Source organism: Homo sapiens, chromosome 7 (genome assembly GCF_000001405.40).
Source record: "Homo sapiens chromosome 7, GRCh38.p14 Primary Assembly".
In the NCBI taxonomy this organism is placed as follows: domain Eukaryota; kingdom Metazoa; phylum Chordata; class Mammalia; order Primates; family Hominidae; genus Homo; species Homo sapiens.
The window spans coordinates 37,131,014-37,155,458 of record NC_000007.14 but is presented as its reverse complement, the minus strand read 5'-3'; the positions used below and the strand labels follow the sequence as shown (position 1 = coordinate 37,155,458).

At 40.5% G+C, this 24,445-nt stretch overlaps 1 protein-coding gene across 14 annotated transcripts in view, besides 1 other annotated feature; it reads left to right on the top strand.

Annotated features, from left to right (window-relative positions):
• Positions 1-24,445, top strand: part of ELMO1 (engulfment and cell motility 1) — a 596,421-nt gene that overhangs the window by 293,868 nt on the left and 278,108 nt on the right. For all 14 annotated transcript variants that reach the window (NM_001206480.2, XM_011515654.3, NM_014800.11 and 11 more), the window contains one exon: positions 22,225-22,329. In NM_001206480.2, the coding sequence (NP_001193409.1) occupies positions 22,225-22,329 (105 nt within the window). The remainder of the gene's footprint in view (positions 1-22,224; positions 22,330-24,445) is intronic.
• Positions 1,162-1,781: an enhancer, noted in NCBI's record as "H3K27ac-H3K4me1 hESC enhancer chr7:37193283-37193902 (GRCh37/hg19 assembly coordinates)". NCBI's record gives its function as "activates a minimal SCP1, AML or CMV promoter by ChIP-STARR-seq in primed H9 embryonic stem cells {active_cell/tissue: H9 hESC(primed)}" and the evidence as "EXISTENCE:reporter gene assay evidence [ECO:0000049][PMID:30033119]".

Here is a 24,445-nt window from a genome sequence, read left to right as displayed (position 1 = left end):
TTATTTTGAGCCTATATGTGTCTTTGTCTTTGCACATGAGATGGGTCTCCTGAATACAGCATACCAATAGGTCTTGACTCTTTATCCAGTTTGCCAGTCTGTGTCTTTTAATTAGGGCGTTTAGCCCACTTACATTTAAGTAATTGGTGTTACTTATGTGTGAATTTGATACTGTCATTATGATGCTAGCTGGTTATTTCGCCCATTAATTGATGCAGTTTCTTCCTAGCATCAGTGGTCTTTACAATTTGGCATGTTTTAGCAGTGGCTCATATCAGTTGTTCCTATCCATGTTTAGTGCTTCCTTTAGGAGCTCTTGTAAGGCAGGCCTGGTGGTGACAAAATCTCTCAGCATTTGCTTGTCTGTAAAGGATTTTATTTCTCCTTCACTTATGAAGCTTAGTTTGTCTGGATATGAAATTCTGGGTTGAAAATTCTTTAAGAATGTTGAATATTGGCCCCTACTCTCTTCTGGCTTGTAGGGTTTCTGCAGAAAGATCCGCTGTTAGTCTGATGGGCTTCCCTTTGTGGGTAACTTGACCTTTCTCTCTGGCTGCCCTTAACATTTTTTCCTTCCTTTCAACCTTGGTAAATCTGACAATTATGTGTCTTGGGGTTGCTCTTCTCAAGGAGTATCTTTGTGGTATTCTGTGTATTTCCTGAATTTGAATGTTGGCCTGCCTTGCTAGATTGGGGAAGCCCTCCTGGGTAATATCCTGCAGAGTGTTTTCCAACTTGGTTCCATTCTCCCCGTCATTTGCAGGTGCACTAGTCAAATGTAGATTTGGTCTTTCACATAGTCCCGTATTTCTTAGAGGCTTTGTTAGTTTCTTTTCACTCTTTTCTCTGATCTTGTCTTCTCGCTCTTTTTCATTAATTTGATCTTCAATCACTGATATCCTTTCTTGCGCTTGATCAAATCGGCTATTGAAGCTTGTGTATGCTTCACGCAGTTCTCGTACTGTGGTTTTCAGCTCCATCAGGTCATTTAAGCTCTTCTCTACACTGGTTGTTCTAGTTAGCTATTCATCTAACCTTTTTTCAGGGTTTTTAGCTTCCTTGTGGTGGATTAGAACATGCTCCTTTAGCTCGGAGAAGTTTGTTATTACCGACCTTCTGAAGCCTACTTCTGTCAGCTCGTCAAGCTCATTCTCCATGCAGTTTTGTTCCCTTGCTGGAGAGGAGCTGCGATCCTTTGGAGGAGAAGAGGTGCTCTGGTTTTTGGAATTTTCAGCCTTTCTGTTCTGGTTTCTCCCCATCTTTGTGGTTTTATCTAACTTTGGTCTTTGACGTTGGTGACCTACAGATGAGGTTTTGGTGTGGATGTCCTTTTTTGTTGATGTTGATGCTATTCCTTTCTGTTTGTTAGTTTTCCTTCTAACAGACAGGCCCCTCAGCTTCAGGTCTGTTGCGGTTTGCTGGAGGTCCACTCCAGACCCTTTTTGCCTGGGTAACACCCCTGGAGGCTGTAGAACAGCAAATATTGCTGCCTGATCCTTCCTCTGGAAGCTTTGTCCCAGAGGGGCACCCACCTGTATGAGGTGTCTGTCTGCTCCTACTGGGAGGTGTCTTCTAGTCAGGCTACTCGGGGGTCAGGGACCTGCTTGAGGAGGCAGTCTGTTCATTATCGGATCTTGAACCCTGTGCTGGGAGAACCACTGCTCTCTTCAGAGCTGTCTGGTAGAGATGTTTAAGTCTGCAGAAGATGTCTGCTGCCTTTTGTTCAGATACGCCCTGCCTCCAGAGGTGGAATCTAGAGAGGCAGTAGGCCTTGCTGAGCTGTGGTGGGCTCTGCCCAGTTTGAGCTTCCCTGCTGCTTTGTTTACACTGTGAACATAGAACCGCCTACTCAAGCCTCAGCAGTGGCAGACACCCCTCCCCCTGCCAGGCTCCAGCATCCCAGGTTGATCTTAGATTGCTGTGCTAGCATCCCAAGGATCTGTGGGCGTGGGACCAGCCAAGCCAGGCACAGGAGGGAATCTCCTGGTCTGCCGATTGTGAAGACTGTGGGAAAAGCACGGTATTTTGGCAGGAGTGTACCGTTCCTCCAGGTAGAGTCACTCATAGCTTCCCTTGGCTAGGAAAGGGAAATCCCTGGACCCCTTGTGCTTCCCGGGTGAGGTGATGCCCCACCCTGCTTTGGCTCGCCCTCCATAGGCTGCATCCACTATTCAACCAGTCCCAGTGAGATGAACCAGGTACCTCAGTTGGAAATGTAGAAATCACCCGTCTGCTGCGTCAATATCACTGGGAGCTGTAGACCGGAGCTGTTTCTATTTGGCCATCTTGGAAGTGACCCGTAAGTCTATTCTTAAAGTCATTTTTCTGTGAGATATAATTCCCGAAGTGCCTACTTGTTGGAGGAGGTTGAGGTTAGTATAATTACTATCAAAAAATACACTTTCAGAAATTGGTTCCAGCTTTTCCTGCCCCTCACTCCTTCTCTGAGCAGCTTGATGGATCCTTCCCCACGTGTGTCCCTTATAGGTGTCCGCTCCGGCAGATACCCCTTGGAGACATATGCAGAGATAACTACCATTTGTTTGGATTTTGCTCCAACACAACCAGCTTATACACATTATACAAAAACTTGCTTTTTTCATTTCTCAGTTCATCATGAACATGCTCACATCTAAGTAGATTGATAATCTGGTGCTTTCTAATATATTTACATAGAAGTTTATATCGCAAATTCTGTTCCTTTCATTTTCTTCTTTTTTAAACCAGAGCCTTTTCTCCTTAACTTCACTAAATGAAGCTACCCCTCTCTTTTTCAGCCTCCCTTCTTTCCGGTGCTGAGTGTTAGCCATCTGAGTGTATGCTTCCCACCATTTCTAAATGCTTTTACGATCGTGTGTATACATGTGCACATGCACGTACACACTCATCCACACACATGCACACATAGGTATATTTGATCATTGCTGTACAAAAACGGGATCACACTTGCTACATTCTATAAACTAAGTGGCTGTTACTGTTGAGGTTTGAAAAACATAAAAAAAAAAAAAAAAGCCCCAACATTGCTCAAGGTGCCAGAACATACCTGGGAGATCCAGACCTCTCACCCAGGTTTTCTCAGGCAGTCACTTTCTCTGCACCCAGCTTCAAATGAAGACCAGTCCCACACAGCCCTGGCAGCTCAGGGCAGCGTTCGTGGGCCAGGCCTTCCCAACCTCTGCTTTGGGTTTGCAGGAGAACAGCCACCTCCTATCATCCAGATTTCAGGCACCGCTTCCTCTGATATCCAAGGTCATGTTAGACTGTACCTGGAACCATGACTGCATGAGGTTCACAAGGACACCAAAGCTTTATTTTTTATTTTTTAACATAGTAGTTTTTGACTCCATCTAATCTGTTTGCTAAGGTTAGGGGCAATGTGGCATTCACATGCTATTTACCTAACATTTCCAATACTTTCATCCTTCATCAAGGTTATTACTTTTCTGGTTGGCAATGGACTCAAATCCTCATTCCCAAAAGCTTGTTCTCAGGGCTGGGAAAGGCACAGTTGCTCTGTTGGCAGGTGGGCAGATTTCCATGGGCTAAAACAAAACTGAAGCAGAAGTCACCGTATTTCTGTTGCTCCTGACCCTTGACAGAGAAAGAGAGTGGAAAATTTCTCCTCGGTATTTGTTAGCTTTATCGTGGGGTGTCACACGATGCATTTGAAAAAAGTTAATTTGAAATTTTAATTTCAACACTGATTTTTAAACCAGAACTATGTCCATCTCTCTTGTCTTTTTATCCTCAGCTCTGGCTGATTCCCGCTGGAATTATTTCCAATATGTTCTCCAGAAAACCATCTCCTGTCAGAAACTTTCAGGATCACAGGGGCCGAATGCGTCTGTTTAGCTATTAGGTTGAATCATATGATAACATTACATTTTTGTACGTCAAAAATGGCCAGATAGTGTCACTTAAGTGGTTCAACCCAATATGTTTACCCTGAATATTTACAGGTCGGAAGGCTTGGGAGCTAGAAGGCCCCATTAGGATTTTGTTACCCAGTTCTCAATATTTACAGGGGACCACCGGGAGCCGGCCTAATTGCCCAGTTGGTGATGAATTGATTCACCTGTGCTGAAGCCGTCCTCATACAGTCCCCCTGACGAACTGTGAAGTGTAGTGTGAACGGTCAGGCTCCAGGAGGTGTAGGCTTCAAGGATTACAATAAAGGATGGGGGTTTTTTAAAGCCCAGAGGGCTATTCCCTGGCAGGAAAGGAAAGTTGGGCAAACACCCTGGAGGGGCCCAAACCCAAGAGACCTCAGGACCTGAGATTGCCCCTGACTCTGAGGATTCAAATCAGACAGATCCTCTTCCTGGCCTCTTCTATCCACACCCTAGTCTCCCCACACTGTTTGAAATGATGTGGGCAGAATGCAGGCCACTCACACTGACTGCAGAGGGCTGACTTGGGCAGGTGGGCATGAGCCTTTCTGCCCAGCGTGAGTCCCTCTGGCACAGCTGGATGCTGACCTGCAGGGAGGCGCTTCAGCGAGTACTTGAGCAGGGTCGAGGATGAGAAGCCAAACTGTTTCTCATGTTCTCCTGCAAAATGAATTTATTTCCTTGTTAGAGAACAGTGGGCATACCCCTAGTCAAATATAAGTGAAAATCGATGCATCTTTATTTACAAAAAGTTAGAAAGATATGGACAGATAGAAAAAAATTACCTGTCTTCCCACCACTACAAATCATTATTACTACTACTTTGGCAAATTTCCTTCCAGATTTTAATGCATTCAAAAAATACATAATTATGCTAAGTCTTTGTCTTGATACTGCTAATCCATGTATACTTTATATAATAATACATAGAAAATATTCTATATAAAACATATATTGACAAGGACTATATACTACTATAGAGATTGTATACAAAATACAACTAGCATGCATTTTATATTTCTACCCTTTTCATTCATCATAAGTAAATACTCTATGCACATAAATGTTGCATAGTGTTCCCTACAGTCGATTTTCCATCATGTAGTTAACAATTTTTTTTTTTTTAGTGTAGTAGTTAAGTACGTGGACTCTGGACGGTTGGGTTCAAATGTCAACACACTGATTGTGTGAATGTGGGCAAGATGTTTAATCTCTGTTTGTCTCAGTCTGTTAATCTTTAAAATAGGTCTAAGAGTTATATGTAGCCTGTTAAAGAAAAAAAAAAAAAGAATTCCGCATAGCCTGTTGTAAAAAAGAGACCAAAGTCTTCAGATGTTGCCATTTATAAGAAGTATATTGAAGGGAGGTAAGCTATGTTTACCAGCCATGGCTCAGATCCCTAGCATGTCAAAATTAGATGTTGTCTTTTATGTCTGAATATATCAAAGGCCCCATCTGAGGTTTGCCTTTAAAAAAAAGAGGAGAAGAAATTTTGTGCCTAAGACACAAAATTTGGGCATTGAGTCACTGTGATACTAGCTGGCAGGGGAATGGGGACCTTCTAGCCATGAGCTAAGGTTACTGAAAACATTCCTTTCAACATAACATTTGCAGGACAGATAATTTGTTGAGTGAGACATTTGGGAGTCTATAAAATCATTACAGTATCCAGGGGAACAAAACATTAAACATTTACAAAGGGGCCACTGTGTTGTTCAGGGAGCAAAATATTAGCATTTCTTTGTTAATTAAGATTTTGAACTTTTGATTAAGGAGTTTTTAACTTTGTACAAGGACTGATTTTCTGATTAATTCATGGGTCGCTGGGAGGATCAAACACTTAGAACAAGAGTCTGCAAATGTTTCCCATAAAGGGCCAGGTAGTAAATATTTTTAAGTTTTGTGAGCCATATGCAAGGCTGTGTCACAGCTTCTGGATTCTGCTCCCTGATGTGAAAGCAGCCACAGACAGTATGCAAATCAATAAGTATGACTGAGTTCCAATATGACTTTTGTTATGGATGCTGAAATTTGAATTTCATGTCATTTTCACATCACAGATTTTTTTCTTTTGATTAAAAAACTATTTAAAAATGTAAAAGAAAAAACATTTTAGACTCTCAACTGTACAAAAAGCATTTGGCTCCTGGGCTGTAGTTGGCTAACCCCTGGCTTAGAGCAGTACTTGGCACTAGTGACTGCTATGTATGTGTTGGCTCCTACCCCCACAATTGCAGCTGTTGTTATCACCATCGTCACCATCTACATCCTTCTGCTATTATAAATAAAGCACTGAAGAACATCTTCAGGGAGAAAGGTTTTTGTCCCTCCCCTGCTTTTGCAGTTACTAACTGTGCTGCAGCCCTATGCTAGGGCCAGATGGTGCTAGGTTCTGGAGAAATCTCTGCATGCCTTTGACTTCCTGGGAGTCCATGTGTAACAGCTGCAGCTTGATCAGCTCCTCACTTCACCATGGCAGAGAGGTTTCCCCTCCCATGCTGATGGTCGTTCCTCACCAGAGGCTGCCTGGAAAGCTGTGCTGGGCTCCAGGAGAATGGGCTTCATGATGGATTATCAAGACCCACCTTGGAGTGATGTTTGCACATGTGCTGTGTTCTTTGTTGGACATCATAGCCTGTGCTCTCCCTGGGGATGAATGAAAAAGGGAGACAGAGATGCCTACTGTACATGACATGTATTTATCCCTTGTTTTAAAGTGACGAGAGGTGGGAGAAAGGGGGTCATAAAAGGAGTGGTACAAGGAGGAGCTGGGAAGTAAGGGAAGAAAGAATAGGACATTGTTGCTAGAATGAGCCATGATATCTGGATTGTTCCAAATCCCCCATGCACTCAGCTGAGTAGAAAAATTGCAAATATCTTTATAAACCTTGACAATACTATTTCATTATTCATAAAGACTTTTTTAAAAATCATAACCAGCTTCAATTTTAAAGGAAATTTATTCCCAAAGCATTTTTTAATTGAGTTTTTATGGTAATTCTTTGTATTGACTGTTGAATCAACATACCAAATAAAATATGTTCCAGTGTTTTCTTTTATTCAGGAAGTCTTAATTCTGCTTCTTCAAAATAATGAAGTGGCGAGAGTCAATTCAGATTTTCATGAATTACATACCTGGCAGTACACGGCCTTTTCTAAGAGTAAATTTAAAAGAGTATTATTTTTTAACTAGGAAAGTTTGCCTTAAATTCAGAATCGTTGGTGTATGATCTTTCATTGTGTTTTCCTGTGTAATTTATGAGTGTGTGTGTGTCTTTCTGTATTGTTAAGACTTTTAATAACTCACTTCTGAAATAGAAGTTACTTGAAGGCAGGTACTATTTTTGTTTTAAACACATCTTTGGATGAAATGTATCATTTCTGTCTTGCACAGTGCCTTGCGTAGTAGTGGACGTCCAAAATTGTGTGATGAGAAGAAGGAACTCTAGGGGTTGCAAGGCATCTAGTGGTTATTTGCCTTTCCCTTCCCTAGACAGTGTCTCTGCTGTATACAGCCAGCCCTGACTACAGTATTGCTCAGGACAAAATCTTCTCTGCTATTCCTGTTTCTGTAGTGGCACAGAATACTGTCAATACCCTTTCAGATGCCTGAAGACGTTGTTAGTCCAACTAACAACGGAAGTTAGTACAACTTCCATCTCAGTTAATCACTGCACCTCACACACCTTTCTTTTTATTTCCTGGGCTAAATAACTGGCTTTTTTTTTTTTTTCCAACTTTTCTGACATGCCTCTCTCCTCTGATATATCTGCTTCTTTCTGGCCACTCTTGTGTGCACGATTTCTTGTGTATCAGGAACTGGGTTGCATTGTGGCCTGCAGACTGTGCATCGTGTCCACATGTGACCTGGGCAGGGCCCAGTCCAGTGGAACCTCTTCTGTTCTTGTTGTGCTAATATTAATAAAACCCAACATGGCATAGCCTTCTGGCTGCCACATGAAGTTGACTCCTCTTGGACTTGTTGGCAGCTCCAACTCTTAGTTGATAAATTGAACGGTCATGGACTCTGCTTGGTTTCAGAACATTTTCAGGGAGGATATTCCCTTAGTGACACTTGGAGGTGGTCTTAGAGCTTCATTGAACCTGGGGTATCACACCAGGGGTAAAGTTGTGGAGTTGTCCAGCCCAGAGAAACAGAGCCAAGGCTGGGACCAGGAGGTAGCAGGTGGGTGAATGGAATGAGAGAGATGAGCGGAAGTGTTAAGGAGGCCAGGCAAAGAGAAGAGGATGTCCATCAGAGAGGGAGGTACACTGGGGAATCCAGGGGGCTTAGAATCTATTGGCCTAGATCCCTAGCATCTTCCTGGGTGTTTCTTTCATGAGGCACCTTTGTGCCTCACCTTAAAGAATCAAATTTTAATGATGAGGAGCTGGGATATCATGAATTATTCATGAGCCAGATTTCCCTTAATCTCTAGACATGTGCTTGAATTTCTAAAACTCTTTTTTATGGGACTTCACATTTCTCTGATTAAATTTCTTCTTGCTAATGGACCCCATATTCCTAGTCACCAAAGACCTTTTGAACCTAAAGGGGAAAAAAGCTGCAGAATTGAAGTGGTGACTCTGCCACTTACTAGCCATTGTCTTGCCCAAGTTGCAAGTTCTGACCTCATCCATAGGATGAGAACCATAACAGGTACCTCGTCACTTGTTTTGTTGGGTGGTTGGGAAGATAATTGGAATTTTGCATTTGGAGTGCCTGGTGTGAAGCCCATCAGTATCAGTGCCAACACCTTGTCACAGTTATTTTTCTGCTCTCAGGATATTCACCATGTCTCTCTCTTAGGTCAGGTTTGATAGACTGTCTTCTCTGTTTTCATCCAATCTATTGATTCTTATTAATAAATTCCTGTTACATATGGAGAGGGACCAACAGCAGAATCTGAAGATTCCTAGAGGCTACTTGTAAGGATCTTTGGGACACTGGTCCATGTTGGGGGTTACAAAGTCAGAGGCCTTCAACAGCCTCATTATTCAAATGTGTAAGCAACCAGGTGAGGAGAGAGTGGTGGGGCCCATGTCAACTCAAAGAATGTATGTCCTATCTAAAGCAGTCATTTCACTAAGAGTCACTGCCCAATCCAACACCTAGTACAGGGGGAGTCAAGGGCACCAGCTCCATGGGCTGCTGTGAATAGCTCCCTAACATGCGCTTGCATTTGGTTAATGTGGCTTTGGAGCAGTGGTTCTTATAGTATGGTCCAGAAGCCATCGGCAGCACCTAAGAACTTGTATGAATGCACATTCTTGGCTCCATTCCAGACCTACTGAATCTGAAGCTCTTGAGGTGGGGCCCAGCAACCTGGGGTTTAACAGGCCCTCTAGGAGATTCTGATATTCTTGAGAATGATTTGGAAAGTGGTTCTCAACCTTGGAAGGACACTGGAATCAATGTTCTGGGGAGCTTTAAAAATCCAACCGCCTGGCTCCCAACCACAGAGCTTCTCATTGAACTGATTTGGGCTAGAACCTGGACACCAGGATTTTTTTTAAAGCTCCCCAGGGGATTTTCAGGTGCATCTAAGACAGAGAACTGCTGTTCTCAGGAGCTTATTGAAACACCCACATATTCATTTCTCCTGGGTGAAGAGGTGAGGAGAGGGAGGCATGTATCATTTGACAGAGTTCCTAGATGACCTCTTTTCCCCTTACAGAACATGACCTTGAACCACCAGCCTCAAGAAATAGCCTTGAATAGGGCTTTTCATAGATTAAGTGAATATTCACTCAATGTGATTTGTTTTAAAGGTTGCTTTTAATGCTGTATTTGTTCAGCAAATGTAGACGCTATTATAACACAAATATTAACTCCTGAATCCTCAAAGGCTTTCCCCACGCTATGCCATCTGGCAAGCATTGTTATCATCATCTCTTTATTATCCACGCTAATAAAGGACTAGCATGGCACTGGTAATTGAAAAACACGTATCATTTAAAAATCATTCAGGCTAGTGCCAGTACTGTTTTCCCAACCAGGAAGCATTCAAGAGTAGAAATATTGCCTGATTACAGTTTGCTACTTCCCTGCGGAGGTGCTAATACATATTATTTTAGTGAGAAATTTGAGTCATTGGAGTGAGAAGCTTCTAAATTATAATTCCTGTTTCTGAATAAAGGGGTTTGTTTTATTGACAAGAGTCCTGAGCACAGAGACAAGGAACAGCAAGTATATTTAAAATGCATGTGCACCTGGGAACCAGTGGATTAAAGCGTGATATAATATAGAAGCTGCATGGGGATTTGAGGAATGGTAGATCTGGATTCTAGATCTCCTGACATTACCTGTGTCATTTGAGATGAGCTATCCTCTCTACCAGTGGGTCTCAAAGAGTCCTCAACTAGCAACATCTGTATCACCTGGGGATTTATTAGAGATGCAGATTCTTTGGCCTCACCCCAGGCCTACTGGATGAGACTTGGGGTGGGGCCAGCAATCAGTGCTTTAACAAGTCCTCCAAGAAATTCAGATGCCTGCTCAAGTTTGAGCACTGCTACTCTCCACCAGGGGCTCAGTTTTTTTGTCTATAAAATAAGAAGACCAGCCTAGATTATATTTAAGGTTTACTCTAGCTCTCCAGTGGCCATGGTGTATGGGCACAGAATAAGTTTAGAGATTTTCTGTCTTAGAGCTTATATTTTCCCTTGGATGTGTGATTGAAATCATTCCGCTGAAAAACTGACAGGCAGGTAACAGAAAAGAAACTGATTTCCAGGAACTAGATACTCAGACTAGATACCCAAACAGCGCCTTGGGTGCTCACTACAAAATAACTCATAATATTTTCAGCTGGTTGGTACTACTTTCCCAAAGTGAAAAAACTCTGGTGTTTTGGAAAGGGAAGTAGCCATCTCCCCTTTCTCTAGGGGCTGAGAGCTGTCTGCTGTGATTCACAGAGCAGCATTTCAACAGAAACTAACAAATGGCATTTCAGAAGGATGTACAGAGGTACACAGGCTTTGCAGTAAAACAAGGGAAAATTTCAAGCCATTTATCAAAGCCCCTGCAGCTTCCATTTCAAGACAGGTGGAAAAAAATAACATGGAACAAGAAAAGAAAATAAATCTGTATCCAAAGCATCTCATAAATAAGAAAGGAGTGGGGGAGTTGCTGGGCTTGCTGGGCTCTCAGAGTATTTTTGTCACAGTACAGAAAGCTTTTAAATGTTTTGGCGTGAAATTCTTTTCCTTTTCTTGTTATTAAAATTTGTGGTTGTAAAATTATTTCACTGGCTATTAAAACCAAAAAAGGAAAGCTGAGAAAATGATACGTGGAGTGAGAGAGAGAGAGAGAGAATGAGAACATAGTTCATTCTGTACCCCAAAATATTTTTTATTTTTATCTGAAATGTAGTGATGCTCCATAATTTAGGCACGTCATTGAAAATCAAAGGCAATTTTCTAATTGGCTTTTGTTCAGTAAGAGCCTATTTGCTGCAGAAAATTAGGATGTGGTTTATTGAACATGAGAGAGACATGGGTCTGTTATAATGTCTGAGGGGGTGGAGAAATTATAACTTTTACTAAAAAGATAGGCCAGTCGCGGTGGCTCACACTTGTAATCCCAGCACTTTGGGAGGCCAAGGCGGGTGGATTACCTGAGGTCAGGAGTTTGAGACCAGCCTGGCCAACATGAGGAAACCCTGTCTCTACTAAAAATACAAAACTTAGCCAGGCATGGTGACGCATGCCTGTAATCCCAGCTACTTGGGAGGCTGAGACAGGAGAATTGCTAGAACCCAGGGGGCAGAGGCTGCAGTGAGCCGAGATCATGCCACTGCACTCCAGCCTGGGTGACAGAATGAGACTCCATCTCAAAAAAAAAAAAAAAAATCGACCGGCTGCAGTGGCTCACACCTGCTGTAATCCTAGCACATTAGGAGGCCAAGGCTGGCAAATCACTTGAGGTCAGGAGTTCGAAATCAGCCTGGCCAGCATGGTGAAACCTCATCTCTACCAAAAATACAAAAATTAGACAGGCATGGTGGCAGGCATCTGTAGTCCCAGCTACTCAGGAGGCTGAGGCAAGAGAATCGCTTGAACCTGGGAGGCGGAGGTTGCAGTGAGCCGAGATTGCACCACTGCACTCCAGCCTGGGTGACAGAGCGAGACTCGGTCGCAAAAAAATAAATAAATAAAAAGATGGATCTCAGGCCCACTCTGCCAGAGGGAATAACGTTGATTGAGGAGAACCTGCATTGAACATCTTTGTGAAATTCCCAGCAATGTTGGGTTGTTGATCAACCTGGTTAAAAGCCCATGCTCTGAGTTCACAGTCTGGCTTTGCCACATAACTGGCTCTGAAACTTTGGGCAAGCTACCCAATTGTCAGTGCTTTAGTTTCCTTTGGGGGATAATGACAGCATCTACCCGGTGGGAGTTTTGTGAGGATTAAGAGCTCCATATGCAAGACACTTTGCGCAATGCCTGGTGCATAGCAGGCATTCTTTTATTGAGACTATTTGCTAATTAGTCACGTAGTTCTTTAAAGGAACCCTAAAACTCAATTACTTTGTTTTTTAACTGTAAGGATTTTTTGAAAATAGCAAATGAATGCCTGTGGAGGGGTGTGATTGATAAAAGGAGGCTTGAAGGACATATTGGGTGCAAAATTCAAAGAAGATTGATAACTCTTGAGCCATGGGATCTTCTCCTCCATCAGCTTCACTAACATATAGCTTTGGGGAATTGTTAGAATTAGGTTCAGAGATACTAATTTTTTCCCACTAGATTTCCTTTCTTACGTATTTATTTTTGAAACTCATATAGCAACACTAGAAATAGGTCTGAACTAAGTATCATGTGTTTCTCTTTTACATTTGGCTCCCCTCCTGTGTCAGCTGGCCTATGATGCACAGTGGCTAATATTGATTAGCCTACATTTTTCTTAAATACAGTTTTCTCAGTCTATGTAAAGTCTAAATGCTAGCAGTACCAAAATAAACGCATTCAACTTCTAAACTGGTGGTAAGGAAAAAAGTAGGAACAAAACATAGTTGAGACATATTGTCCAATGAAATCATTGCCTGTGATGCCACAGCCAGGTGTGAGGTCTGGGGCAAGCTTCCAAACTCATCTGAGCGGCAGTTTCCTCATCAGTAGAACCGGGATAAGAATAGCACCTACCAGGTGTGAGATTTAATACATGTAAAGTACAAAATAGTGCTAACACCCAGAATGTACTTAGCAAATGTTAACTTCTTAAATGTTACTTGTGTTCATGAGAATCCAATGTATCAAAGTGAAAATAATCAATTTGTGTGTAATGGGGAGGAAGTTTTACTATTCTTTACTAAATAACTAAAAACATTACAAAATATTTAATGGCAAGTTACTTTTTAGACTTAATCTCTGGTCATTTATTTCCAATTAAGACTGGACCCCACTGTATTTGACATGCGGAATGGTTTTTATTTTTGTTACGATCATATTTATTTTGAGATGTATCCTTCTTATCATTAGTAGCAGTTCTCTAGTATTTTAAAAACTTTCCAACATTGGAATAAATGAATCAGGATAAAATGCTAAAATAAAATACTCAAATCATTGCACTTATTCAACCTCTAGTTGTGGACAGCGATGCTCTTTAAACTGTGGACTGTGGCCAGTAGGCAGCACTACTCTCTCATAGTTTCAGATATTGCCTATTAGCTTATAAACAAAATTTCAGATCAGCATGGGTAAGACAGTTTAGATGTATTCTTGAATAATGTAGAAAAGTGTGGGTTGTTTGATCCTCAAACAAGTGAACAGAAAGGCCTTCCAGCACCAAAGTTAGAAAAAAAATTGCCTTTAACCAAAATTGCCCTGGAGAAACAGAGATTCATGCTGTTTATCCAGGGACAAAATGAAAGTATGTTATTTCATACAAATTATCTGGATCATGAGGCAAAAGCAGTTTTCTTTCATACCTCTTTAACTTTTCTTTTTCATCTGTTTAACCTGTGGGAAAAACAACTTGTCTTAAATTATTCACCATTTAGATCTGAATTTTTAAATTTTCTTATTTTCAGTTTTTTTTGGTTTATTTCAGTAGGGTTTTGGAGAACAGGTGATGTTTGGTTACATGAATAAGTTCTTTAGTGATGATTTCTAAGATTTTGGTGCACCTGTCACCCGAGCAGTGTACACTGTACCCAATGTGTAGTCTTTTATCCCTCACCAACCCCCATTCTTTCCCCTAAGTCCCCAAAGTCCAGTGCGTCATTCTTATGCCTTAGCTCCCACATGAGTGAGAACATACGATGTTTGGTTTTCCATTCCTGAGTTACTTCACTTAGATTAACAGTCTCCAATTCCCTCCAGGTTGCTGTGAATGCCACTATTTCATTCTCTTTTATGGCTGAGTCATATTCCATGGTGTATATAAATATGCCACGTTTTCTTTATCCACTCATTGATTGATGGGCATTTGGGCTGGTTCCATATTTTTGCAGTTGCAAATTGTACTGCTGTATACATGTGTTTGCAAGTATCTTTTTCATATAATGACTTCTTTTCCTCTGGGTAAATACCTAGTAGTGGGATTGCTGGATCAAATGGTAGATCTACTTTTAGTTCTTTAAGGAACCTCCACACTGTTTTCTATAGTGGTTGTACTAGTTTACCTTCCACCAACAGTGTAAAAGTGTTCCCTTTTCACTGCGTCTATGCCAGCATCTATTGTTTTTTGATTTCTTGATTATAGCCATTCTTATAGGAGTCAGGTGGTATTGCATTGTGGTTTCGATTTGCATTTCCCTGATTATTACTGATGTTGAGCATTTTTTCCGTATGCTTGTTGTCCATTTGTGTATCTTTTGTTGAGAATTGTCTATTCATGTTCTTAGCCCACTTTTTGGTGGGATTGTTTTTTTCTTACTGATTTGTTTGAGTTCTTTGTAAATTCTGGATATTAGTCTTTTGGTCAGATGTATAGATTGTGAATATTTTCTCCCATTCTGTGTGTTGTCTGTTAACTCTGCTGATTATTTCCTTTTCTGTGCAGAAGCTTTTTAGTTAAATTAAGTCCCTTCTATTTATGTTTGTTTTTGTTGCATTTGCTTTTGGGTTCTTGGTCATTAAGTCTTTGCCTAAGCCAATGGCTAGAGGGGTTTTCCAGTGTCATCTTCTGTAATCTTTATGGTTTCAGGTCTTAGATGTAAGTCTTTTTTTTTTTTGAGACGGAGTCTCACTCTGTCGCCCAGGCTGGAGTGCACTGGCGCCATCTCGGCTCACTACAAGCTCTGCCTCCCAGGTTCACGCCATTCTCCTGCCTCAGCCTCCGGAGTAGTTGGGACTATAGGCGCCTGCCACCACGCCCAGCTAATTTTTTGTATTTTTTTTTTTTTTTTAGTAGAGGTGGGGTTTCATCATGTTAGCCAGGATGGTCTCGCTCTCCTGACCTCGTGATCTGCCCACCATGGCCTCCCAAAGTGCTGGGATTACAGGCGTGAACCACCATGCCCGGCCTTAGATTTAAGTATTTGATCCATCTTGAGTTGATTTTCGTGTAAGTTGAGAGATGAGGATCCAGTTTCATTCTTCTACATGTGGCTTGCCAATTATCCCAACACCATTTGTTGAATAGGGTGTCCTTTTCCCACTTTATTTTTTTATTTTCTTTGTCAAAGATCAGTTGGCTGTAAGTATTTGGCTCTATTTCTGGGTTCTCTATTCTATTCTATTGGTCTATGTGCCTATTTTTAAACCAGTTCCATGCTGTTTTGATGACTGTCGCCTTATAGTATAGTTGGATGTTGAGTAATGTGATACCTCCAGATTTGTTCTTTTTGTTTAGTCTTGCATTGGCTCTGTGGGCTCTTTTTTGGTTCCATATGAATTTTAGGATTATTTTTTCTAGTTTTCTGAAGAGCAGTGGTGGTATTTGGATAGGAATTGCATTGAATTTGTAAACTGCTTTTGACAGTATGGTCGTTTTCACAATATTGATTCTACCCATCCATGAGCATGGGATGTGTTTCCATTTGTTTGTGTTGTCTATGATGTCTTTCAGCAGTGTTTTGTAGTTTTCCTTGTAGAGGTCTTTCACCTCCCTGGTTAGGTATATTTTTAAGTATTTTATTTTTTTGCAGCTATTGTGAAAGAGGTTGAGTGATTTGATTTTCAGCTTGATCACTGTTGGTATATAGCAGAGCTACTGATTGGCATACATTAATTTTGTATCCTAAAACTTTACTGAATTTATTTGCCAGTTTTAGGAGCTTATTGGATAAGTCTTTAGGGTTTTCTAGGTATACAATCATATCATCAGCAAACAGTGACAATTTGACTTCCTCTTTATTGATTTGGATACCCTTTATTTATTTCTCTTGTCTGATTGCTCTGGCTAGGACTTCCAGTACTATGTTGAATAGTGGTGAAAGTGGGCATCCTTGTCTGTTCTAGTTCTCAGGGGGAATGCTTCCACCTTTTGCCTATTCAGTAGAATGTTGATGGTGAGTTTGTTGTAAATGGCTTTTATTACCTTAAGGTATATCCCTTCTATGCAGATTTTGCTGAGGGTTTTAATCATAAAGCGATGTTGGATTCTGTCAAATGCATTTTCTGCATCTGTTGAGATGATCATATGATTTTCGTTTTTGATTCTGTTTATGTGGTGTATCACATTTATTGACTTATATGTGTTAAACCATCCCAGCATCCCTGGTATGAAACCCACTTGATCATGGTGGATTATCTTTTTGATACGCTGTTGGATTTGGTTCACTAGTATTTTATTGAGGATTTTTGCATCTGTGTTCATCAGTGATACTGGTCTGTAGTTTTCTTTTTTTATGATGTCCTTCCCTGGTTTTTGGTATTAAGATGATACTGGCTTCATAGAACGATTAAGGGAGGATTCCCTCTCTCTCTATCTTTTGGAATAGTGTCAATAGATTGGTACTAATTCTTACTTGAATGTCTGATAGAATTCAGCTGTGAATCCATCTGGTCCTGGACTTTTTTTGGTTGGAAATTTTCTTTATTACCATTTCAATCTCACTGCCTGTTATTGGTCTGCTCAGAGATTCTATATCTTCCTGGTTTAATCTAGAAAAGTTGCATATTTCCAGGAATTTATCCATCTCTTCTAGGCTTTCTAGTTTATATGCATAAAGGTGTTCATAGAAGCCTTGAATAATCTTTTATATTTCTCTAGTATCAGTTGTAATATCTCCCATTTTGTTTCCAATTGAGCTTATTTGGATCTTCTCTCTTCTTTTTTTGGTTAATCTCACTAATGGTCTATCTTCTTTTTTTTTTTATCTTTTCAAAGAACCAGCATATCGTTTCATTTATCTTTTGTATTTTTGTTGTTGTTGTTGTTTGTTTCAATTTCATTTAGTTCTGCTCTGATCTTCATTATTTCTTTTCTTCTGCTGGGTTTGGGTTTGGATTGTTCTTGTTTCTCCAGGTCCATGTTTGTGCTCTTTCAGACTTCCGATGTAGGCATTTAATCCTATGAACTTTCCTCTTAGCACAACCATTGCTATATCCCAGAGGTTTTGATAGGTTGTGTCACTATTATCATTCAGTTCAAATATTTTTTTAATTTCCATCTTGATTTCTCTGTTGACCCAGTGATCATTCAGGAGCAGGTTATTTAATTTCCATGTGTTTGCATGGTTTTGTGGATTCCTGTTGGAGTTGATTTCCAATTTTATTCCACTGTGGTCTGAGAGAGTACTTGATATAATTTCAGTTATCTTAAATTTACTGAGACTTGGGCCAGGCACAGTGGCTCACGCCTGTAATCCCAGCACTTTGGAAGGCCGAGGTGGGTGGATCACCTGAGGTCAGGAGTTCAAAACCAGCCTGGTCAACGTGGCAAAACCCTGTCTCTACTAAAAATACAAAAAGTAGCCAGGCATGGTGGCACGTGGCTGTATTCCCAGCTACTCGGGAGGCTGAGGCAGGAGAATTGCTTGAACCTGGGAGGTGGAGGTTGCAGTGAGCGAGATTGCACCACTGTATTCCAGCCTGGTGACAGAGTGAGACTCTGCCTCCAAAAAAAAAAAAATTACTGAGACTTCTTTTGTGGTCTATCATATGATCTGTCTTGGAGAGCATTCCATGTGCTGATGAATAGAATGTGTATTCTGCAGTTGTTGGGTAGAATGTTCTGTAAATATCCATTAAGTCCATTTGTTGTAGGGTATAGTTTAAGTCCATTGTTTCTTTGTTGACTTTCTGTCTTGATGACCTTTCTAGTGCTGTCAGTGGAGTATTAAAGTCCCCCACTATTATTGTGGTGCCGTCTATATCATTTCTTAGGTCTAGTAGTAATTGTTTTATAAATTTGGGAGATCCAGTGTTAGATGCATATATATTTAGTATTGTGATATTTCCCTGTTGGGCTAGTCCTTTTACCATTATATAATGTCCTTCTTTGTCTTTTTTAACTGCTGTTGCTTTAAAGTTAGTTTTGTCTGATATAAGAATAGCTACTCCTGCTTGCTTTTGTTGTCCATTTGCATGGAATATCTTTTAACCTTTACCCTTTACCTGAAATTTATGTGAGTCCTTATGTGTTAGGTGAGTCTCTTGAAGGCAGCAGAAACTTGGTTGGTGAATTCTTATCCTTTCTGCCGTTCTGTACCTTTTAAGTGAAGCATTGAGGCCATTTACATTCAATGCTAGTATTGAGATGTGAGGTACTGTTCTATTCATTGTGCTATTTGTTGCCTGAATACTTTGTGTTTTCTTCATTGTATTATTGTTATATACACAACATGTATGTATTGTGAGATTTATGCTTTAAGGTCCTCTGAGATATATGCTTTAAGGAGGTTCTATTTTTTTCTTTTTTTTTTTGAGGATTTGTTTCAAGATTTAGAGCTCCTTTTAGCAGTTCTTGTAGTGCTGGTTTGGTAGTGGGGAATTCTCTCAGCATTTGTTTGTTTGGAAAAGACTGTATCTTTCCTTCACTTATGAAGCTTAGTTTCACTGGATACAAGATTCTTGGCCGATAATTGTTTTGTTGAAGGAGGCTAAAAATAGGACCTCAGTCCCTTCTAGCTTGTAAGTTTTCTGCTGAGAAATCTGCTGTTAATTTGATAGGTTTTCCGTTATAGGTTACCTGATACTTTTGCCTCACTGCTCTTCAGATTTTCTTTTGTCTTAACTTTAGATTACCTGTTGACTATGTGCCTAGGTGATGATGTTTTTGTGATGAATTTACCAGGTGTTCTTTGGGCTTCTTGTATTTGGTTGTCTAGATTTCTAGCAAGGTAATTGAGGGAGTTTTCCTCAATTACTCCCAGAAATATGTTTTCCAAACTTTTGGATATCTCTTTTTCCTTAGGAACACCAATTATTCTTAGGTTTGGACGTTTAACATAGTCCCATACTTCTTGGAGGCTTTTTTCATTTTTTAAATTCTTTTTTCTTTGTCTTTGACGGATTGGGTTAATTCGAAAGCCTTGTCTTTGAGCTTTGAGGTTCTTTATTTTGCTTGCTAATTCTACTGCTGTTACTTTCCAGTGAATTTTGCATTTCTCTAAGTGTGTCCTTGGTTTCCAGAAGTTCTGATTGTTTTTATTTATGCTGTTTCACTGAAGAATTTTTCTTTCATATACTGTATCCTGTTTTTTATTTCTTTAAATTGGACCTCAACTTTCTCTGCCGCCTCCTTGAGTAACTTAATAATCCACTTTCAGAATTCTTACTCTGGCAATTCAGATATTTAATCTTGGTTTGGATCCATTGCTGGTTAGCTAGTATGATCTTTTGAGATATTAAAGAACCTTGTTTTGTCATATTACCAGAATTGTTTTTCTGGTTCCCTCTCATTTGGGTAGACTAAGTCAGAGGGAAGATCTGAGACTCAAGGACTACTGTTCAGATTCTTTTGTCTTACAGGGTGCTCCCTTGATGTGGTGTTCTCCCCCTTCTCCTAGGAATGTGGCTTCCTAAGAGCCAAGCTGTAGTGATTGTTTTTGCTCTTCTGGGTCTAGCCACCCAGCAGAGCTACCCAGCTCCATGCTGGTACTGGCAAGTGTCTGCAGAGTCCTGTGATATGATCGGTCTTCAGGTCTTGCAGCCATTGATACCTGCACCTGCTTCAGTGGAGTTAGCAGGGGAGTGAAGTGGACTCTGTGCGGGTCCTTGGTTGTGTTTTTGTTTAGTGTGCTGGTTGCCTCCCAGGGAGCCTGCGGTGGTGATCCAGTTCCTTCAAAGGGTCTGTGAATTATCTCAGCTTTCCTGGTATGTTCCTGCGGTTGTTCTTGGAACAAAAGTTCATGATGTAAGTCTCCACATGCTACTCTATCCTTCCAAATGGAAGCTGCAACTAGTCCTTCCTCCTATCCACCATCTTGGAAAAACTGGCAGATGTGCATTTTCAGGATAGTTCCTGGTCATTGTTTTCAGTAATTAATGGTGAAGAGTAGATTGCTAATCTTAGTAAGAATCTAGTGATGTTTTTGCTGGGTGATCTCAAGTAGATGGAGAGTTCAGATCAGCCCGGCCTTCTCCTCTTAGGCATATTTGTAACTATTTTTTATTTGGGTAAATTTATGGGGTACAAGTATAATTTTTGTTGCATGGATACACTGAATAGTGGTGAGGTCAGGGATTTTAGTGTATCCATCACCTACATAGTGCATTGTACTCAGTAAACAATTTCTCATCATCCCACCAATTCCCAGCCTTCTGAGTTTGCATTGTCTATCATTCCACACTCCATGCCCATGTGTGCAAATCATTTAGCTCCCACTTCTATGTGAGAATATGTGACATTTGACTTTCTGTTTCTGAGTTATGTCACTTAAAATAATGGCTTCCAGTTCCATCCATGTTGCTACAAAAGATATGATTTCATTCTTTTTTTATGACCAAATAGTATCCCATTATGTGTATGTACTACATTTTCTTTATCCAGTCATCCATTGGTGGACACATAGGTGGATTCTATATCTTTGCTATTGTGAATAGTACTGCAATAAACATACGAGTGCAGATGACTTTTTGGTATAATGATTTCTTCTTTTTTTTTTTTTTTTTGAGATGGAGTCTTGCCCTGTTGCCCAGGCTGGAGTGCAATGGCGTGATCTCGACTCACTGCAACCTCCGCCTCCCAGGTTCAAGCTAATCTCCTGCCTCCACCTCTCGAGTAGCTGGGATTACAGGCGCGCGCCACCACACCCAGCTAATTTTTTGTATCTTTAGTAGAGACAGGGTTTTACTATGTTGGTCTCAAACTCCTGACCTCATAATCCACCTGCCTCAGCCTCCCAAAATGGACTACAGGCATGAGCTACCATGCCCAGCCAATTATTTCTTTTCCTTTGTGTAGATAGCCAGTAATGGAATTGCTAGATTTAATGGTAGTTCTATTTTTAGTTCTTGAGAAATCTCCATAGTGTTTTCCATAGAGGTTGTACTAATTTACATTCCCATCAACAGTATATAAGCATTTTCTTTTTTCCCTTTTCTTGCCATCTGTTATTCTTTGTCTTTGTACTAGTAACCATTCTGACTGGTGTGAGATGGTATCTCATTGTAGTTTTCATTTGCATTTCTCTGATGATTACTGACGTTGAGCATTCTTCCATATGCTTGTTGTCCATTTGTATGTCTTCTTTTGAAAAATGTCTATTCATGTCCTTTGCCCACTTTTAAATTGGATTGTTTTTTGTGTTGCTGAGGTGTTTGAGTTCTGCATATCTGTAGCTATTATTTAATCTTTGGGGTTCTGTGTGTTGTGTGTGGTGACCCTAAAGACCAGACAGGAAGGTTCTCAGACTTCCTGAGAGCAGGCAGATGTCAGGACCCTGTGGATATCTGAACTTTATCCAGTGTCTGTGCTCAGAGGCCTGTGGACTGTGTAGCCCTGGACAGTTCACAAAGCCCATCAATGTATGGGGCTGTATTTAACCTCCCACGTAAGGATGCGGAGTCAAGGTGTGGGTAGGTCGTGGTTTCCTTGGAGTCAGCTTCCAAATTAAATACCAGAGGTGTGGCTTTATCCCAGTTTTTTTCTACCCAAATGCTGTTGGTTTCATTTTAGTGCAGCCACCAGAAATAATTTTTGCATCATTTTCTTTTTCTCACAATGTCACATGTCTAAGAATAATCCTATGTTTGAATATTTAGCTTGGTTTCCTAATCCCAGGTATAAAATCTGGTTTTGCTGTCCTGAGGAGCAGTAGAAAGAAGTCCCTGCATCCACCTCAGTAGGTTTACATGGAGATAGAAAATGTCATCATGTTTGATTATTTGGACCTTACCTTGTAGCACTTCACTCTTGAGGAGGGAAATCAGATCTCTGGTGGTTGGTAAAATCTGCTGAAGAATTCACCTTATCATGATTTTGTTTTACTCACAGAATCATGTCAACCCTGCCATGGACTTCACGCAGACTCCACCTGGGATGTTGGCTCTGGACAACATGCTGTACTTTGCCAAGCACCACCAAGATGCCTACATCCGGGTAAGCAAGAAGCCCCTTTTCAGATATTGTGTGTTTCCTACTCAATGTTAATTTCAAACTCACAAATACGGAGGGATTACCTTTAGATGAGTGACCCCATATTTTCTGTCTTTCTTAGTAAACTAAAAAAAAAAAAAAAATCAGAATTAAGTGAGATCAATCAGGGGACTGAAATGAGGATTTTAACTTTTAATTTTTTTATTTCGATGACATTAAAAAATACGGTAGATACTAGGAAAACATTTCATATAGTCCAATATTGAATTATGACAAAAACTCTTAAATAACAAGGAACAAAAATGAACTACCTACCAAAAACTTGCATGACTCCAAATTCAGAGGCTGTTGAGTCTGACACTGGAGGAACAATAAGATAAACAGAAACAAAGAGAAAAATGGGAGAGATGGGGAAGGCAGAGAAATGCCTTCTTACATTTCACGTCAGACTCGTCAAATTCTAGTCACGAAGGTAGATTAATTTGTGGGTGGAGCAGAAGGAAGTGGGGGACTCTATTTTCTCTGTGAAATGGAAGATGCCACCTGCTGAAGATGCCATCCGCTGACTGGGCATTGCTGGCATGGAGAATAAATGAATGGAAGCCTAAGGCGACAGTGGTGGAGAAGGCTCTCATCTATCAGGGCTGCTCGGTTGGAGCCCTGGATTTGTGCTGACACCTCTCCCCTGTCCTCAGGGTGAAGAACCCAGATTCAGTCAGGATGAGGTAGATCCAAGATTGAGATCAGGGAAGGATATGAATAAATGGGGCAGGGGAATTGGTGAGTGGTTAAAATGATGACTAGATGTAAGCTTAGAAAGTATTTGATGAACAAGTTGCCTAAATCAGGAAGAGTAAGGCTGAACTTAAAATATGGTAAGAGCATGTCCATTAATCTCATATTCTCTGTTGGATTCTCTGTAGCACTGGCTCCCTGGAGACCTGGGTTCGAGCCTGGCACTATCATCATCTAGTGATGTCAGTGTGGGCATTTCCTTTGGTCTGGCCTCATGTTTCCTCTGTAAACCAGAGAGACTTGATGGTTCTTAGCTGGGACAGTATTTATTCCCCTAGAGAGCATTTGGCAATGTGTGGGCGTGTTTCTTCAGTTGTCACCATGCCTAGTGGTGTGCTACTGGCCAAAATCTGTAATCTATGGGACCGTCGGCACAGTGAAAAACTGTACCACCCAGCAGTGACCTCCTTGAATAAGGCCATGCCAGATCACTGAGTTCTCTTTAGGAAATATATTTTAAATCTGTGTGTTGTTCTATATATATGGAGTTTGGGAAGCTTTGACCTATTCTGAAATATTATTTGTAATCTGAATATATAGAGAATTTTATTGTCATTTCTCTGAAAGGTTTGGGATCAGGTGTTTGGTCAGAAATACAGTCCCACATAAGAAAATTGTTTTTCCATAAAACTTTGGTTTGACTTATATGCGAATATATTTTTTGCACAGATGATTTCTAATAATGTAATCTGCTTTTGTAGTAAGTAAATTAATATTTTTGAGATACCATGTAGTATAGCCTTGGAGAGTTGAGCGTGAAAAGTAGAAGCTAAGTAGAAATTGAATTTACCACTAACTGATTAATGTTCATGGATGAGTGTTTCTAAAATTGGAGCTTATTGATGCTGAATGTATTGTTAATTGCATAAGAAGCATATGTCTCATGAAAAGTAATTTAATGTTTTAAGCCTGTTTTCCTCAATGTGTTCTTTAAACATTGTAAGTGAAATGAATACCATGGCAGCCTGACAAAACTTTATATTTGATCAGGACTTAAAAGAAAAAACCTATTTGTAAAGAGAAGTGTGGCTTTTGGTCCACATGCACTTTTCTTTATTGGTTAGACTTTCCTGTATCTCAGATGACTTTGTTGATTTCTCAGAAGTGTCCTTTCCCTAATTTTTTCTGTGTCCCATTTGACTTTGGGGCATTTACTAGATAGAAAGCTAAGGCTATTTATGTGAATGCATGGGGTTAGTAGAGCATATATAAATTCTGAAGATCTCTGCAAGGAAATTTTAGGGTGACTTTGACAATAGATATCTCCATGATATGGCAGTAGTGCTGTAGGTAGTGAAAATAGTGATCTGGGCAGCTAATTAAA